We start from the raw sequence: 20,317 nt of genomic DNA, 5'->3' as shown, positions 1-20,317 counted from the left end.
TCAGACACCTGAAGCTCTGTGCCTAGACCTTATTTATTTATTTATTTATTTATTTATTTATTTATTTATTTATATTTTGAGACTGAGTCTCACTCTGTCACTCAGGCTGGAGTGCATGGTGTGATGCACTCCATCTCCCAGGTTCAAGCAATTCTCCATCTCCCAGGTTCAAGCAATTCTCCATCTCCTAGGTTCAAGCAATTCTCCATCTCCCAGGTTCAAGCAATTCTCCATCTCCCAGGTTCAAGCAATTCTCCTGCCTTGCCCTCCCCAGTAGCCGGAATTTCAGGCGCCTGCTGCCATGCCTGGCTAGTTTTTGTATTTTAGTAGAGATGGAGTTTCACCATGTTGGCCAGGTTGGTTTCGAACACCTGACCTCGTGATCCACCCACCTCGGCCTCCCAAAGTGCTGGAATTACAGGCGTGAGCCACTGAGCCTGGCCACCTAGACCTGTTTAATTGAATACCCCACAAGCACCCCAAACTCAAAACACCCAGGAATGAACTCAGTATTTTTCCAGCCGCCCAATCTGCATGTCTTCCTGTATCACCAGCTCTGTGAATGACCTGTCTCCTGCCCAGTCACCTGTGCTGTAAAACTACCAGTCCTCACAGACCACTCCATCACTCCTCTACCCATCCAGTCAGTCCTCAGTTCTCTCTCATGATCTCCCCTCAGGATGTCTTGACTTCATCAGATGCAAGTCAGGCCTTCATCTTTTCTCACCTGGACAAACCTCCTGCCTTTCTGTCCTGCTTCCAGTCTCACCCTTTTCAAACCTGCTCTCCACCCAGTGCCATGATACAGCTAAAGATCATGTTCATCAATAACTTTGCAGTGGCTGCCCCTAAATACAGGACACAGCAGAGCAAATGTGACAGCATGTATCTGAGCTTTGCCTTCTGTATTGGTGATGTTTTGCTGAAACATACTGTAAAATGTGTTAACACCATCAAAAGAAACATTCATTATTTCACAGTGTCTGTAGGTCAGGAATTAAAAGGGGGTGGTTCTAGCTTAGAGTTTCTCATGAGGTTTTAGTCCAGATGTCAGCCAGATCTGTAGTCAAATGTAGGCTTGACCAGGGCTGGAGAATATGCTTCCCATATCTCACTGACACAGCTGGCAAGGTGGTGCTGGCTGTTGGCAAAATGTCTCAATTTTTTATCCCATAGATCTCTCCATAGGGTTGCCTACATGTTCTTACAACACAGTGGCTGGCGTCCTCCAGTGTGGGTGATACAGATGAAATCCATGTGTTTTATGACCTAGTCTCAGAAGTCACACACCATCACTTCTACATTATTCTGTTGGTCACACAGGCCGCCCCGAGGCAGTGTGGGAAGGATCTACACAGGACGTGAATACCAGAAGTGAGAATCACTGGAAGTCATGTTGGAGGCTGGCCACTATCCCCTTCTCGCTAAACCTGACATTATCACTCTCATATTTCATGTTCCACCAGCACCAAAAGATTTCAGATTCCCAGAACCTATAGGGCTGTGTCTTCCATCTTTGTGTTCCTCATGCCTGCAAGATCTTTTCCTCTCTTTTGTCTGGTGAATTCTTATCATTCAAAATTGTGTGCTTATACTTAGTGCCTAGTACAGAATGGGAGCTCAACACACGTTGAGCTGAAATCCAAAGAATAGAATTAGAAGGGATAGTCCAGGTAGGCTCCATGCTATCATCCCACATTACCTTGAAATATGCTGAAGGCCAGGAAAGTCAGAGTTTGTGGCTCACCTGGGCCATATTGAAAAAGGGTATCCATATTTTGTCTAAGAAGCCACAGAATAATATAGTTGGAGACAAACTTCCTCCAGATTTATAAAAATCAATGCCAAAAAAATTTTTTACAAGCCCAAGGATTTGATAAAAAAAAAAAAGTGTTGGAGGAGGAATAAAGAGTGATGTCAGGAGAAGGAAGACATGTTGGTTAGCTTATTGACATAATAATGCCACATAACAACCAACCACAAATCCTGAATAGCATGCAGCAAGAAATATGTATCTCTTGCCTGGGAGTTTTATGTCCCCTGGAGCGGCTCTGCTTTGCCTGCAGTGGCTGAGATGACTTTGCGTCACTCTGTGGGTTGGCTGGTGTGGCTCTGTTCCATCTCTGTCATCCTCCTATGATAGGCTGGCTGGTGATGAGGGAGATGCAAGAGAACATATCCAACTGCACCGACATGTTTCCAGCCCCTTAGTATATTCCTCAGCCAAAACAAGTTCCATGGCCAAACTCAGAGTCAAGGAGTGGGGAAATATTGAGAACTACAAAGTTATAAGGCAATAGTCAGGGGTTTAGGGAGGGGTAAATTGGGACTAAAAATTCAAACTATCAAAGTGGGAAAAGCCACAAAATTTTGGGAAGGAAAAAGAATGTTTCTAGCTGTTGAAAGATTGTCTCCTGAACTAAACCTAAAAATCTACTTTGAAAATATTCCTGCTGGGGCCAGGTGCAGTGGCTCATGCGTGTAATCCCAGCACTTTGGGAGGCCGAGGCAGACGGATCACCTGAGGTCAGGAGTTCAAGACCAGCCTGGACAACATGGTGAAACCCTGGCTATACTAAAAGTACAAAAAATAATAGCCAGGTGTGGTGGCACTTGCCTGTAATCCCAGCTACTCAGGAGGCTGAGGCAGGTGAATCGCTTGAAGCCGGGAGGCGGAGGTTGTGGTGAGCCGAGATCGCACCACTCCGCTTTAGCCTGGGCAACAGAATGGGACTCTGTCTCAAAAATAAACAAATAAATGAAATAAAAAAGAAAATATTCCTATTGGTGTCAAGTTTTCAATTCTGTATAAATGTTAATAACTGTGGTACTCCTAGTGAATATTTGTGTATTATTTTATAATGTATATTTGTTGAACCAAATTTCTGAACTTCCTTCTAAAGTTAAGGAAAAAACTTGAGCATCCTAAGATTTCTGGCAATGATGAACACTGTGGTGTTGCAGACTCATGAAGTGAGTTGAGGCACTGAAAGAAAGCAAGGCTGGTCTGGAGAGTCCACTGACTTGCCTTCCAGAGCTGTCTTCCTCATGGTTCTGTCAGCTCTTAGCTGGCTCTCAGCTAATTTCTGGTCAAGTGCTAGCTGAAAATGGCTAAAAGTGTTTATCTTTCAGGGTGCATTTGGATGGTAATTATAGAAGCCTAGAAACCTAAGGGAGTCTTCAGGGATGAATCTCCAATGGTGGAAGATGAGGTAGCTTGATAATACATTTAATGATTTTTTTTCCTCAAAGTTGAGAACATTTTATGGCATTTAAAGCACTTCTACACATTAGGCTGAATCACGGTGGCAATTTCATGTGATTCAACCTATTGTATTATTTATTCTTTACAGCAATCTTCAGACACAGGCAGGAAACAGATTCAGGGGAAATCACTTAGTTGCTTTAGATCACACAGTAAATGGTAAGAGTAGGCCTGGAATCCAAGTCATCTGCTATCAAGTTCAATTTTTTTCCTTACACAGGTGTGGCAGAAGTACTTTAAAACATTTGTTTTGCTCTGTGTCCACCCGTGCCTCTCTCCTTCCCCCAGCCCCACACTTTCTCCTTCTCTTTGCCTGTTTCTGTTTATCACCTTAGTGGCCTGGCCCCATTCCCTTCTGATACACTAGCTAGTGAACCCATCATCTTGAAAGAGGAATGTGGTATATTTCCCCCTGTTGAGCTACTGCTTAATTTGTCAGCCTCCTTTACTCTGAGCCCACTGTGATGGCTGGACTCTTAAAATATACCTAGGGCTTTGCTCCAACTTCAGCCCCAAAGACATTAAATAATTAACTTCCAGCACTCTCCTTTGTGTGCTTTATCTCTGCATCACCCAAAATAGCTGGTGGCATTTCCTCTGTATAAATAGAAAGCAGAAAGGTCAACTGGCATTTTTGAAATATATATGTATATATATATTTTTTTTTACAAAGCAGCAAGCTAGCAGGATCCCTTTATTTGCTCATACCTGTGACTGTTTCATAACAAGAAACTTCCTAGTTTAACTCCTTAGTCAATTTCCCCCACCATCTTGCAGTTGGATCGTTACTAATACAATTTGAAGTGGTTCAAAATTAAGACTGAGTACAGCTGAAAGAGAAAGCATTTTCTCAGTGGTGATAAGTAAAAGATTTAACATTCAAGTAATGTTAAATCTTCTTCCCCACTCCCACCCCAGTGAACCAAATGAAAGTAAACTTGAGTGAGCTTCTCTTTAGAGGCATGGAGCTATGATTCAAAATGATATTTCTTCCTAGCTCTTTTTTCTTTTGAGCCTGATGAAGTGCATAACACAAATCCCTGGAGAGTAAGCTGTTTTTAGTCTGCACCTGTCTTCTAAGAACCATGTTCTGAAATGCAAGATAGGAAGGTGAATCTGTTTGTGAAAGAAACTATTTGAAAATCTAGCTATTTCCTCTTAGGACCCAGCACACAAGTTTTGTTCTGTTCTAATGTTATAAAAACCATCGACAAGAAGATTGGGCAATTTTTATTAACTGGGGTAATATTATGGTCCCCGCTCTTCCAGTCATATTTGCAATCTGGTTGGTCACAAAAGGGCATGTGAGCTCTGGGGAGCATTTTCTGGGGTGAGGTCTCTTCCCTGTTAATGTGATGGCAATTTGCATGCCTGCTGTCAGCAGCAGTGTGGTCACATGCCCCCATCATCCTAGGTTTCCCAGGGCAAACCTGATTTTCAGTGTTCTACCATGGCAACAACCACGGGTCGTAGATTTTGACCTGGGAAACACACTCAAGTTCCAAATTCTGAAAAGTCTCAGATCCCACCTCCAGAAGCAGTATTTGAGGTCTGCTTTTCCTGCTGCAGACACAGGGGCTGTGAGAGCACAGACATGCTCCTGACCCCCAGCCTCCCAGCCAGGAATAATTCTCCAGTATGCAGGGAGAGAGGGTGAGAATGGGCATCATTAGCTTTGGGAAGAGGCAGAATGAAGTTTTGTGCAGCCCCCAAAACCTCTCTATAGTGTAAGGGAGTTGTGGGAACTCAGAAGAGTGATGTTCATAACCCTTGAGCACTAGAGAAATTGTGGGTTCACCTGGGTGGTTCCTTTGGTTGCTGGGCAGGGATAGAAGTGAAGCCACAGGATAGAGTGTTAGGGCACAGTGGCCATGCCCCTTTGTCCTTAAAATAAGCCCATTAAGTTCTCTCAAGTTATTCACACTGACTCACCTACCACTCCACCCCAGTCACTACTTGCTTATATTCACTGTGAAGCATTTGAAGTCTTTGGACCCTTCTTGGAAGTCCTCATACCACCTTCCAAGATGTGAGATTAATTAAGCCCCCAATTAAGAGCAGCCAAAACACTGTTCCAAAAAGAGGGAGGGGGAGAAGAGAGACAACAGAAAGAAAGGTCTTGAACAATTGTTCTGTGTGGTACCAGTGGCACTGGCACCACCTGGAAACATGTTAGAAACCGTGATCTCTTGAATCAGAAATGCTGGTGATGGAATCCACCAATCTATGCTTCAACAAGCACTCCAGGTGATTCGAATGCATGCTCAAATGTGGGAATCACTGGTCTAAAAGAGTGCATCATGCAGGAAGCACAGCACCACTGAAAACAAGTTAGTAAGATAAAGAAACTCTCTTAGTTTCCTCAGTCATCAGCAGGAGGCTGAAAAGTGAATAACAGTACTGTGGGCATCAAATTCACCCAGACAGTTCTGAAACAATAGATATGTTTTAGCCCCTTGTCTTCCCAGAGAAGGGAGTGGGGTGGGTCTTGGTATTGACAAAGATTATCTCCTCGACCAAACTTTAGACAGGCTCTTTTGAGCCCTCTTTTTTATGAGGCCTCATTCTTGGCTCTGTCTTCAGCCTGCCAAACCCAGTTTTAGCAAGAATTCTGGTAAAGTCAGTTTATTGAGAATACCCCACATTTGATAGCTGATCACCCTCAGTATCTGATCAAATTCCTCATCACCTGCCCTCAATCTCTGATGACCCTGGCCTTCCTCCAGTGGGAATCTTAAGTCAGTTTAGCAGGAATCTCCCTGCTATGGTGTGAATATTTGCCTGCTCCAAAACTTATGTTGAAATTTGATCCCCAAAGTGGTGATGTTGGGAGGTGGGGCCTAGTGGAAAATGTTTGGATTATGGGGGAGCACCCTGAAAAATAGCTTGCTACTGCTCTGGAGTTCTTGCTCTCTAGGCTGGATTGTTTCTTGAAGGAATGGATTATTTCCCCAAAGGGTGGGTGTTATAATGCCAGGACACCCCTCAGGTTTCTCTGTCTTCCTACTTGTCCACTTCCCCTTCATTGCCGTGTTGTGATGGAACACAACAGCTTTTGCCAGAAGCCAGGGCCATGCCGTTGAACTTCTCAGCCTACAAAACCGTGAGCTACATAAACTTCTTTTCTTTATAAATTACTCAGCTTCTGGTATTCTTTTATGGCAACACTAAACAGATGAATACAACCCCCAACCTTTGAATACTCCTTTTAGAAATTTTCCATCCACCAAGGCCCGTATCCTGCTAATTGGCTATTAATCTCTAGTTTTCTTTGCTTCAGCAAAGAAACTTCAGAGTTGAGCCCAATGCCTCTCCCATATTGCAATATTGTTGATACCTATCAAAATAGTCCTGATTACAGTCTTTTTGCCATTTCAATAAGTGTCAATAATTTTTTCATTAACAGTATATTTAAATGTGTCTATGTTTAAAAAGCTTCACAAGCAAATCTAATATAGTTCCATGGTTGAAAATTCTGATAGACACTGGTTAAGAGTATGGATTCTGGAATGCGACAGACCTAGTTTCAAATGCCAACTCTGCTTCTTGCAGCTGAGTGACTAAGCAAATTACCTAACCTGAGCATCTCTCTTTCTCTGTTGTCTCTCTCTCTCTCTTTCTCTCTCTTTCACTCTATCTCTCTCAAGTTAGTGAAAAGATCCAATGAAGGCCCTTAAACTACTAAGCACAGTACTAGTACCCAACAGGCACCAAATTAACCAAATATTACTGGCTCTAAGTAATAATTATCAAAGGATGGATATGTTACATTCAATAAGAAAGTTTTACATAAGGAAAAGATAAAATAGGTGATTTATTTTGTAACTGTGAAAACTATGTTTATTTTGAATACAAATCTTGAATTATCTATGGATGAGTTTGAAATAAATCATAGAAGAGAATCACTTTTTGGATTTTTAATCCAGGTCCTTGTGTGTGTATGAAATACACACATATCTTCCTTATTAGTCATGGAAGGGCAAAAGTGGACCAAAAACAGGTCAGCTAAGACAGGCATGTCTGGCTTCTGGGCTGTAGCTCAGCATGTTGTAGGCTAGAGTCCAGTGACCTTCACTGGCAGGCTGCCTACAGTCCATGAGACCCTAGGCAGTCAGGCACTGAGCTCTGTCCTCCAGCTGAAAATAATGAAGAGCACACGGCTTCTCCCCGGTCATCGTCAGGGTGACTCAATCCTGCTGGAAGCCCTGAGGGCGCACATGAGAGAAATGCTTTTCAAGGGAGCCAAACTTGATCTATAAGCTTATCTCAGGGTATAGTCCAAATAACACTTATGACTCCAAGCATAGGCAGCCATGCTTACTACTCTCTAAAGAAGCCAGTACTTCTGATGAGGAATTGAAAGTCAAGATGGGAGCTCTGCTTTTGTATCCATTCCCCATAATAGAGTTCAGCTTATATGTTAAATGAATTTTCACATAAATTTGTCCACTTGAACTTCTGCTTCTTTTTGATAGTTGCCTAGAGATGGTTCTGGAGAGTAGGTTCTTTTCCCATCGTGATCAGCAACTGCTCTTCAAAGTACAGGAGCTGGTCCACTTCAAAACAGTCGCTGGCTTGAGGCACCACTTTTTCCAAACACTCGCGGATCTCTGCTTCGCTAGCATTCTGATGCCTTGCTCTCTTGAGGTAATTATAGACCTCTTCAAATACTTCTGTCCCCAGCTTCTGCATGGCTGATCTGTCAAAAAAGTTACAAAAGATTACAAAGAGTTACACATTAAGATCACCTGCAGGAAAATGTGCTTTTAAATCATTGATTTTACAAACATTGTCATTCTGGGATTTAGAAAAAAAGGGGGAAGAAAAGGCACAATATCTCCACCCTAAACATTTAACAGTATTCAACAAATAATGCCTCAATGTCTATTATGTGCCAGGTACCCTTCAAGGAACTGGGAATATAGCAGTAAACAAGTTAGGCAAAGTCCTGCCCTTGTGTGTGTATATATATATAATACACAGATATACACACAGATGTGTTTATATAAACGTATGTATATATACACATATACACATAAGATATCAGATGGTTCTAAGTGCAATGAAGAAAAAGCAGGGTGAGGCGGACAGGAAAATCCTTCTGAGGAAGTGTCATTTGAGCAAAAGCTCTCAGGAAGTAAGACAAATACTAGGGGCAAAAGAATTTTGGCCCTAAGGCTAAAACATATTGGAAAAATAACAAGAAAGCTATTGTGGCTGGAGTTAGTAGAACAAAGGGAAACAGGATGGTGGGATATAAAATGCAGAAATAGTTAATAATAACAAAATAATAATGAGGAGGAGGAGGAGGAAAATGAGGGGGAGAATAGTTTTGTTTGCCACTTGCCAGGTCCTTTTCTACTCACTTTGCCCTTTCAATCACACTTAACCTTTACAACAGCTGTACGAAGGAGGCAATTTTTTAAATCCCTATTTTACAGATGAAGAAACTGAGGCTTAAAAGGGGTAAAGTTATTTGGCCAAGTTTCCACCAAGGCCGACATTCATTTTTTCCACACTTCCAGTGATTGTCCATATGTCAACATAATCTTTATGTTATAATCATATTGCCATATCTAGTATGTTTATTTCACCGTTGACTATTTTCCTCTATCTCCAGAAAGGGTCACAAACTAAAGACCTATGGGCAACATTTGGTCCATAACATGTTTTGTTTTTCAATACCATGTTTTATCTTCCTTTATTATTTTTAAATGTTTTAATGTGAATGTCTTTATGTGGGGCCTGCAAGCACTCTGTACTCTGCATTTTCTGACCGTCTTTGACCTACCTCCCCTATCTTTTATCATCTTATACCAGGCTCCTTCTCATAGTTCTTCTACCCACTTAACTCAAGGGCATTCAAGTTGGTGGATTTTGTTTTGCGGTTCTTCACGGTTGTCGTTTTTAATGGCTCCATATTGTTCCACTGAATTTATGTGCCAATATTTACTCCATTTTCCCTTCACCAAACAATGAGCTTTTTTTTGCTCCTTTGCACTATAACATAGTGTGAATACCTCATCTTTAGATATTAGGCTTTTACATTTTAGGGGAATATTTTATGACATCAAATTTTTAGGAGTTGGGCTATTATGTGTGTGTTCACTCTAAAAATTTATATGTGTACTTATGGTTTCTGCACTTTTCTCTGAAGAACAGAGAAAAGAGTAAATATATGTTGTGCTTGATTAAATGATAAAAATGTTATGGGAATGAGATTATTAGGTCAAAGTGTATAAATATTTGTGTGACTTTAACTTGAAGAAATATTACTTTTTCTTCATTTCAATGGATTTGGTAAAAAGAAAAACCAGGATGTGTATTTTTTTTTTTTGGAGATGAAGTCTCTGCACTGGTGTGATCTCAGCTCACTGCATCCTCTGCCTCCCAGGTTCAAGCGATTCTCCTGCCTCAGCCTCCCGAGTAGCTGGGATTACAGGTGCCTGCCACCACGCCTGGCTAATTTTTGTAATATTGGTAGAGATGGGATTTCACCATGTTGGCCAGGCTGGTCTCGAATTCCTGACCTCAGGTGATCCCAAAGTGCTGGCATTACAGGCCCACCTTGGCCTCCCAAAGTGCTGGGATTACAGGTGTGAGCCACCGTGTCCGGCCTTTTTTCACAATTTTTGAAGCATTAATGCTTAACAGTAATGATGGTAATGTTGATAATAACATTGGAGACATTAGTCACAGACTCATTCATTTTATAAGCTTTTATTGTTCAGTGTTATTCAAGCTTGTAATCTCTAAATCATAGGATATGTGTTACGTATTGTGGCCGATAAAGAGATGAATAGGTAATTCTTCTAGCTCTGGTTTAAAGGCTGGTCATGACAATGCAAGACATAAATTTTTAATTTTAACTAACATTTCTATAGCCCTTTAGAGCTTGCAAAGTGCTTTTGCATTCATTATTTCAAATGCTCCTTATGAACTAGGCAATTCATTGAACATTTGTCTTCATTTTACAGATGAGAATAAGCAGGTTTTTCGTAGCCTTTCACAAGCTCACACAGTTAGTGTGGTAGAGTTTGGACTCAAATGCTGATCTTAAAACACCAGATGCTGGAGAAACCAGCAGCCCTAGGCTCCACAATAAGTTTCCCACCTTCTGTCATGAGATTGTCAGGACTGATTCCAGCATGCCTAACATCCCTAGTCACCTCAGTCACCCCCACAAAATCCAGGTGTTTCTTTTGCTGACATCTACCAAACCCTGGTCATTCTCTTCATACACTGATTACTTCAGTGACTAGCCCACTCTTTCTTCCACCTTGTACTCTTGTCATCATTCTTAACTTCTGTATTCTTGCTGTCTCTGGTTTTGAACTGCCTCGCATTCAGCCATCATTTCTTTTACCCTACCTGAGTTGCCCATTCCCATGATCATATCAATTGACCTCATCAGTGCCAATGACTACATGACCTCTGAAATTGATTTCAAGCCTCCTACTCTCTAATCACCCCCTCAATGCCCTCCCACCATACTTACCAGCTAATCTTCCACTTCATGGTGCCCTTCACTTCGACTCTACCCCCATGATAATAATTACTCACTTCTTTTGTAACCTCATATACTCACTCCTCACCTACCTCCTCACAGTTAATTTCATGGCCCATCATCATAACCATTATCTCGCAAATACCTTTGACTTTTTCCACCCCTTTCCCTTTGTTTGGCAAAGACCTAATGGTTAAACTCAGTCGTATACCTACTCCATGGCTGTACCCAAACAAGAGAATATTTATGGAGAAAAGCATCCAAATATACCAAGTCTCTCATTTAAGATGATAATCTTGATTCAGAATGGCACTCAGCACTGCCCAGCAATCTTACCGTGTTTCCCCAGTATGTTTATTTTCCTCCCAAAATGACTACTTCAAATGTTTTCCTTTATTCTTTTAAAAAATATTTTATTTTTGATTTTTAAATTTTATTGTGTATATTTGAGGTTTACAACATGATGTTTTGGGATACATATAGATAATAAAATGGTTACTATAGTGAAGCAGATTAATATATCTATGACCTCACATAGTTACTTTTTTATGACAAGAACAGCTAAAATCTACTTATTTAACAAAAATTCCCAATACAATATAATTTTATTAATTTTAGTCCTCATATTGACATTAGATCTCTAGACTTGTCCATCCTACGTATCTACTGTTTTGTATCCTTTGACCTACATTCCCTCATTTCCTCTCCCCTACCAACCCTGCCTGAGGTAACCGTTGTTTCATTCTCTATCTCTGTGTACTTGAGCTCTTTTTTTTTTTAAATATTCCATATATAATTGAGGTCATGCAATATTTTTATTCCTATGTCTGGCTATTTTTCACTTAGCGTAATGTCCTCCAGGTCTATCCATGTTATGGCAAATGACAGGATATCCTTTTATAAGGCTGAATAATATTCCATTGTATATATATGCCACACTTTCTTTATCCACTTCTCCATTGATAGACATTTAGATTGTTTCCATATCTTGGCTATTGTGAACAATGTTGGAATGAACATGGGAGATATCTTTATGGGGTGGTATTTTCTTCTCCTTTGGGTATATACCCAGAAGAGGGATTGCTGGGTCATTGGTAGTTATACTTTTAATTTCTTTAGGAACCTCTATATTGTTTTCCATAGTGGCTGTACCAGTCTACTGTCCCCCAGCAGTATATATTAGGGTTCTCTTTTCTCCACACCAACATTTGTTATTTCTTCTTTTTGATAACAGACATTCTTAGGGGTGTGAGGTGATATTTCATAGGTTTTAATTTGCATTTTCCTAATGATTAGTGACCCTGAGCACCTTTTCATATCCGTTGGCCATTTTTATGTCATCTTTGGAGAGATATCTGTTCAGATCCTCTGGCCATTTTAAAAATTGAGTTATTTGGTTTTTTGCAGTTAAGTTGTAAGAGTTTTTATAAATTTTGGATATTAACCACTTATTAGATATGTGGTTTGCAAATATTTTTTCCCAGTCTGTAGGTTGTCTTTTCCTTTGTTAATTGTTTCCTTTGCTGTGTAGAATCTTTTTAGTTTTACATACTCCCATTAATTTATTTTTGCAAAAGATCAGAATAAAAATAAATAGGGAATAAAAAACATAGAAAAAAATTAATCAAACCAAGAGTTGGTCATTTGAAAAACAAAACACAATTGACAAAGCCCTAGCTAGACTATGAAAAAAAGAAAAGATGCAAATAATAAATCAAATCAGAAATAAAAGTGGAGACATCACAACAGATGCATCAGAAATAAAAAAGGATTATAAGGGACTGATATAGTTTGGATATCTGTCCCTGTGCAAATCTCATGTTGAATTGTAATCTCCACTGTTGGCGGTGGGGCCTGGTGGTAGGTGTTTGGGTCTTGGGAGCTGTTCCCTCATGGCTTGGTGCTGTCCTTGTGATAGGGAATGAATTCTCACAAGATCTGGTTATTCTAAAGTGTGGCACCTCTCCCCTCCCCACTCTCTCTCTTGCTTTTGCTATGTTACATGCCTGCTCCCACTTCCCCTTCTGCCATAAGTAAAAGCTCGCTAAGGCCTTCCCAGAAGCCAAGCAGATGTTGGTGCTATGCTTGTACAGGCTGGAAAACCATAAGCCAATTAAACTTCTTTCTTTATAAATTACCCAGTCTCAGATATTTCTTTATAGCAATGCAACAAATAGCCTAATACAGAAAATTGATACCAAGGAGAGGGGCATTGCTATAAAGATTCCTGAAAGTGTGGAAGCACCTTTGGAACCTGGGTAATGGGCAGAAATTGGAAGAATTCACATGGCTCAGAAGAAGAGAGGAAGATGAGGAAAAGTTTAGAACTTCTTAGAGACTGGTTAAATGGTTGTGACCAAAATGCTGATAGTGATATGAACAGTGAAGTCCAGGCTGACAAGGTGTCAGATGGAAATGAGGAACTTATTGGGAACTGGAGCAAAGGTCACAGGTGTTATGCCTTACCAAAGAGCTTAGCTGCATTCTGTCTATGCCCTAGGGATCTGTGGAAGTTTGAACTTCAAAGTGATGATTGAGGGTATCTGGTGGAAGAAATTTCTAAGCAGCAAAGCCTTCAAGATGTGTCCTGGCTGCTTCTAACAACCTATGTCCAGATATTGGAGCAAAGAAATGACAAAATTTGGAATTTATATTTAAAAGGGAAGGATAGCATAAAAGTTTGGAAAATTTGCAGCCTAGCCATGTGACAAAGAAAGAAAAAGCTTTTTTGGGGGAGAGAAATTCAAGCAGGCTATGGAGCAACCACCTGCTAGAGATATTTGCATACCTAAAAGTGGGTTAAGTGTAAATATCCAGACAATGAGGAAGAGGCCTCAAAGGCATTTCAGTGATATTCATGGCAGCCCCTCCCATGACAGGCCCAGAGGCCTAGGAGGGAAGAATGGGTTCAGGAGCCAGGCTCAGGGACCCACTGCCCTGCACAGCCTCGGGACACTGCTCCTCACATCCCAGCTGCTCTGGTTTCAGCCTTGGTTCAAAGAGGTCCAGCTTAGGCCAGAGCTCCAGAGGGTGCAAGCCATAAGCTCTGGCAGCTTCTACATGGTGTTAAGCCTGCAGGTGCACAGAATGCAAGAGTGAAAGTGGCTTGGAAGCATCTTCCTAGGTTTCAGAGAATGTACGCAAAAGCCTGGTGTTCAGACAGAAGCCTGCTGCTGGGGTGAAGCCCTCACAGAGATACTCTACTAGGGCAGTGTGGAAGGAGAATGTAAGGTTGGACCCTCACCCTAGTTCTCAGCCAATGACTTCACCTGTTTTCTCAAATGGAAAACCAAAACAATCACATAAACATTCCATTTTCCCAGTATTCAAACTGCCCACTTATTTGGATCAGTAACTATATACTTGGCCTCCTCTTCTGTGCCTAATTAAGGGATCCTCCCTGCTCCTATCAAAGACAAAACTCTACCTGAGTGCTCTGGATCCTGGCCTCTGTCACCATCACAGTGACATTCCCTCCTGCAGTCATCTTCTCTCTTTACCTCACAATCACTTTCTACCTCTACTAGATCATTCCTGTTAGGGTACACACATGACCTGCTATATCTTTTCCTAAACAATAAAACCTCCTTTAACCTCCACATCCCCCAAGGCTCATCCCCTTCTCAACCCATCACTTTGATCTCTATTCCCAACAAAACTTCTTGAAAGAGTTATGTTTGTTGCTTTTTTACTGCACACTCTTTCTGAATCCACTCCTCTTGAGTCTTGGCCCTCTCTTTTTCCCTGAAACTACTCTCACTATGGTATCAATGACTTTCATATGGCCAATTCCCCTGGTCACTTCTTTGTATACATATATTTTTTCTTTTTTAAAAATTGAGGTAAAAGTCATTTATCATAAAATTCCTATTGTGTATAAATTGGCCAGCCTGAAGTATTTTGTTATAGTATCGGAATGGAGTAAAATACTTAAATTTTCTATGTCTTCGGTTTCTTATATTTAAGTGGGGATTTCATACACAGACATACATGCATACATATACACACACACACACCTCTTATCATGCTAGGTATTATTTACTATCATGTACGTTATTGTTGCTTTCTCAGTGGTGAATTGCATAGCAATCCTATTTCTGTTAAACTGGAAGCCTCAAACAATTTTGTAGCTCTATCTTGGTTAAGATACTATTTTAGATTTTTTAACTTCTCTGGATGAATTTGAAAAAAAAAAAAAAGACACCAGGAGACTAGTGACACAGTGGGAGTGAAAAACATGTAATTTCTTAGAAATAATCATGAAAACCTGGTTTACCAGAAAGCCTTAAGAGAACACAGGCATAGTTTAAGGAAACCCTGAAAATGATTTTGTGGAATGTAAGAAATCCCTGCACATCAAATATGTGTGAGTCACTGCAGGAATGGAATGGTACAATGTATTTTACCTTTAATATCGTCATTTCAACAATCATTTGGTGCTAACAAGCATCCGGAATCTTCATTAAGGATACATTTTACAGAAAGAGGTTTAAAATTCTCCATGTGTAGTGTTTCAAATGGCTGTCTCTGAATCAGGTGGGCAAAGACAGAACAGCTCTCTCTCCAGAAGCAGGCAGGTGAACTGGTAGAGGCTTCCATAGCCTGCAGCGTGCCCAGATAGAGCACGTGCCTTGAAGGCCTCTTTCTGTCAATGGCACTTCCCTCTTTCTCAGTTCACTCTGGGCAGGATCCTGAGTGCAAATGTTGGTTTAATATACTGTTAAAAACCATTTCTAAAAGGATTATTTTAATTGTGACTTAAATACCCACCATCATTCATAATTATAATAAATGTAAATGGACTAGACTCACTGACTAAAAAACAAAATCCAGCTAGGTGTTGTTACAAGAAATATACCCATAACATGATGGCATTGAAAGATTGAAAGTAAAATAATTTTTGACAAAGCTACCAGGCAAATAATAACCAAAAGAAATCTAGGGTAGCCATATTAATATGATAAAAATACATTTTAAGTTAAAAAAGCATTATTAGAGATAAAGAAAGTCACTACATAATAATTCAATTCACAAAGAAGAAAAAAAGAATTCTAAATGAGCATGCATCTAATAAAACAGAATCAAAATACATAGAGGACTACAAAGAGAAACTGTCAGATATATTCTCACAATGCTGGATTTTAATATACCTTGCTCAGTTATTGATAAGTGAAGCATTCAAAATATTAGTAATGATAGAAAATATCTGAATAACATACTTAATAAGCTGAACTTAATAGATACACATAGAGCAAGACATTCTTCCCAGGCTCTCATGTAACATTTGCGAAAACTGACCATGTGCTAGACAATTTAACCCTCAATAAATGCTGAATAATTGGTTTCATATAAAATCTAGTGTCTGACCACAATAAAATTGTTAGAAATCTGTAATAAAAATAAAGATTAAACATTTACACATGTGAGTAAATTTTAAAATAATACATTCTAAATAAATTACGGGTCAAAAACAAAATCAGTCATTCCATAAACAAACTCATTTTAGGCTGACAGAAAAGCTATAGGTGTTCTAGTCTTGGAATATTGCCGTGTAAATTTATTCTGATATTTGGAAAACACACTATATTCTGCAATGATGCATTTGAATTTTTAGATTCATAAATAGAAATTCAATTTAAGAGGACTCTCTTGCTGTTATCTAAGATGTGAGAAGGGAGGGCAGTATTCTCTGTGCTGTTCAAATTAAAAGAGTTCCTATGTTTCCTTTTTCAAAGAGAGGGACATGGGGTGGCAGGAACTATTCCTTTAGTTAGCTGGGTATCTCAAATAAAAAGAATTTATATTTTCATTGTTTTCTATTTCTTTCTATGGTGCATTTCCTTTCTAAATTTTATCATTTTCTTCAAGAAACAAAAGCCTTTTAAGTTTTTTAGGGATTGTCAAACATCATTTTAGTCCAAATACTTCATTTACAGGTTGTTTTGCCCAAGATTGAATTGGCAGTTGGGGACAAATAGGGGACTAGAGTCCAGGTTTCAGGACTCTCAGGACAGTGCTCGTTGGGCTGGATAATGGTCCCTTGACACAGGAGTCCTGAAGGAAGGTTCCCTAATGTTCCAAAATTTGAACTGCTTGGGGTCACATCCCGAATACGTGTTTGGCTGACTCCCTTGCTGATGAAAAACTATTAAACACCAAGAAAGCTCTTCTTCTCTCCCCTGCCCATTTCCTCCAAACTCAATCTCTCATCCTCCAAATTCCTTTATTACCTCTTCCTGTGCTTACCTTTCATTTATAAAAAAATACATTTTATCACATCTACTTATTTGCCCATCAATTATAGACTATGCTGTGTACCCTCTAATTATTTATCTCTATCTAATAAGGGCTCTAAAGAATACAGCCATAGCTGCTTAGTTTTATAAGGATAATATCTAAAATGTCCTCATATTTTAAATATTATTTTAATTTTGAATCCCATACTTACAGAAAAGTTACAGGAATAGTATAAAGAACTATTTTGTCCCTGAGTCTTTTGAGAATAAGTTGCTACCCCAATGTCCCCCACTCATACTTTGTGTGTATTTTGTACGAATAAAAACACTTCTACATAACCACAAAACTGCCACCAGAATCAGGAAATTCACATTAATAGATCTGATTCTGTTATCTTGTATATGGAAACATTCAGATTTCCCCCAATTGTCCAATAACACTGCCTGATAACAAAGCATTCAAAATAATCATGAGTTCCATTTACTTGTCATGTCTCTTTAGTTTCCTTCAATGATCTGGATGCTAGAATGTCCCTCAATTTGCATTGCTCACGCCTTTGGGATTTACCAGCTCTTACCCTCTGGTCATCCATCCTTTTATGTATTAGCCTAAAGGATGACTTCAGGAGTAGTGTCTTTCATTATCTTGGGGTATTATTAGAGAGCTCCACCTACACCAGTTCAAGAAGGTTCTTACTGCTCTTGGGTAAAAACAAAGCTTTGATAGTAACAGGAGAGGGATCTTGCCACTTCCAGGTGCCTACTAATGATTCTTCCATGCAATCTGTTCCTGTTCCTGTTTACTGTAAGAAACAAGGACTCCTCTTAGGGAAGGGAAGCAGCTTGTGAAGTGAGTTTCCAGAAGCTCAGAATACAATGCTTTGTCCCAAATATTTCCCTGTACCCCCACCATCACACTTTATAAATCCCACCAGTGAAGGGTACATTCACACAGCTGAAGAAATCACTTCTCAAAGCAGCTGTTAGCTTCTTAGGATAAGGTTCAGGGGCTGCAAAGATGAGCACAGTGAAAAGACCGAAGCCCCGTTAGACACTCTAAGTGCTGGCTGGGATTCTGCCACCAACTTTCTGGGTGGCACTGGGTGAGTGACTTTCACTTTTCAGAGCCTCAGTTACTTCATCTGCAATGTAGACTAACTGATTTCTAAGGATTCCTTCAGCTCTAAATGTTCAATTATAAGTGAGAGCTCAGGAAGACATTCTTTGCTTATAGGTGATCGATAATTATTTGTTGAAAAAATGAAGTAAAAAATGACTTAAAAGCCAGAAGAAAATAGACACTTTGTGAGTCATGAATTTCACTCCTTTTAAAAATAATATCTGAGTAAGCAAATTCTTTTTAAGGGCTTTCAATCATGAGTAATTCTTTCTCAGGGAAAGGAGGGGAAAATAGAAGAAAACTTGTTTTTCAAAGAGTCTGTTAAGTCCCAGGAATGTTTTGTTTTTATTTCATCTTTGGGATTCCCTCTTTTATTTTTTATATATTTTTTAAATTGATAAAAAAATATATATAACAAAATTTCTTCTTTTGAATGTACAGCTCTATGAGTTTGGATAAACTCATTCAGCCATCTAACTCACACCTCAACTGAGATACAGAGCAATTTCATCACACTCCAGAATTCCCTCATATCCTTTTGTAACCAAGTCCTCCCTCCACCCCTTGGTGATAACTGACCTGTTTTTGTTCCTTCAGTTTTGCCTTTTCCAGAATGTCATATGAATGGAATCATTCAGAATGCAGCTTTTAAAGAACTGGTGCCTTTCAATTAACATAGCATCTTTGAGATTCATCTAAACTGCTGTGTGTATTATAATTTGTTCCTTTTATTGCTGATCAGTGTTTCACTGTACGGATGTGCTGCAGTTGGTTTATCCATTCATAGCTGACCAATATTTGGGTTGTTCCTAGTTTTTGAAGATTGTGAATAAAGTTGCTATATGTATTCATATGTAGGTTTTTGTGTGGACATATATTTTCACTTGACTTGGATAAATACCTAGGAGTGGAATTTCTGGGTTGTATGGTAAGTGTATATTTAACTTTATAAGAAACTGCTTATTGCTTCTCAGCCGTTTGGTGAAGATCAAGTGTGAAGAAACCACTCAACTGTTTTCCAAAGCAGATGTTCCATTTTGCATTCCCACCAGCAGTGTATGACAGTCTTAGTTGCTCCATATCCTTGCCAGACTTAGTATTAAAAAAAAAAAAAAAAAAAAAAAAACCAGCTGGGCGCCGTGGCTCATGCCTGTAATCCCAACACTTTGGGAGGCCGAGGCCAGTGGATCACGAGGGCAGGAGATCAAGACCATCCTGGCCAATATGGTGAAACCCCGTCTCTACTAAAAATACAAAAATAAGCCGGGCATGGCGGCGTGTGCCTGTAGTCCCAGCTACTCGGGAGGCTGAGGCAGGAGAATTGCTTGAACCCAGGAGGTGGAGGCTGCAGTGAGCCAAGATCGTGCCACTGCAGTGACCTGAGATCACGCCACTGCCCTCCAGCCTGGGTGACAGAGCAAGACTCCGTTTCAAAAAAAAAGAAAAAAAATTTATGCCAAGCACTTGATATCTATTTTTTAATGTGTTATTTACACAATCATATGAGGTATGCGATATAACTCCTGTTTCACAGTTGAAGAAACTGAGGCACAGATGTTAAGTATCTTAACCACTAAATGGCACTACATGGAGGGGGGGTTCAGATTGATTCTCATTCAGGCTTTGCTCCTAGCTAGCTGTGCAGTCTAGTCACTCAGTTCTGTAGGCCAGTCACTGTCTTCCTTTATAAATGAAGACATTAACTTCTGGAACAATTTCTAAGCTGATTTTTATTTTTATTTATTTTTATTTATTTATTATTTTAAATTTTATTATTATTATACTTTAAGTTTTAGGGTACATGTGCACAATGTGCAGGTTAGTTACATATGTATACATGTGCCATGCTGGTGTGCTGCACCCATTAACTCGTCATTTAGCATTAGGTATAGCTCCTAATGCTATCCCTCCCCACTCCCCCCACCCCACAACAGTCCCCAGAGTGTGATGTTCCCCTTCCTGTGTCCATGTGTTCTCATTGTTCAATTCCCACCTATGAGTGAGAACATGCGGTGTTTGGTGTTTTGTCGTTGCGATAGTTTACTGAGAATGATGATTTCCAATTTCATCCATGTCCCTACAAAGGACATGAACTCATCATTTTTTATGGCTGCATAGTATTCCATGGTGTATATGTGCCACATTTTCTTAATCCAGTCTATCATTGTTGGACATTTGAGTGGGTTCCA

The 20,317-nt window shown here is 39.8% G+C and overlaps 1 protein-coding gene and 1 long non-coding RNA gene across 52 annotated transcripts in view; one reads left to right on the top strand and one right to left on the bottom strand.

Annotated features, from left to right (window-relative positions):
- The window catches only part of NUDT16-DT (NUDT16 divergent transcript), a 56,384-nt gene that overhangs the window by 23,955 nt on the left and 12,112 nt on the right, over nt 1-20,317 (top strand). The window lies entirely within an intron of this gene.
- The window catches only part of NEK11 (NIMA related kinase 11), a 323,589-nt gene continuing 310,327 nt past the window's right edge, over nt 7,056-20,317 (bottom strand). For 50 of the 51 annotated variants that reach the window (NM_001353038.2, NM_001353022.2, NM_001353023.2 and 47 more), the window contains one exon: nt 7,056-7,964. In NM_001353038.2, coding sequence (NP_001339967.1) covers nt 7,745-7,964 — 220 coding nt within the window. In that variant the 3' untranslated portion in view covers nt 7,056-7,744. Of the gene's footprint in view, nt 7,965-15,178; nt 15,464-20,317 lie in introns of all 51 variants that reach the window. The other variant, XR_001740271.2, reaches the window with a different exon arrangement.

The sequence above is a fragment of the Homo sapiens genome, chromosome 3 (assembly GCF_000001405.40).
Source record: "Homo sapiens chromosome 3, GRCh38.p14 Primary Assembly".
Classification (NCBI taxonomy): Eukaryota; Metazoa; Chordata; class Mammalia; order Primates; family Hominidae; genus Homo; species Homo sapiens.
This window is presented reverse-complemented; position numbering and strand designations above follow the sequence as displayed.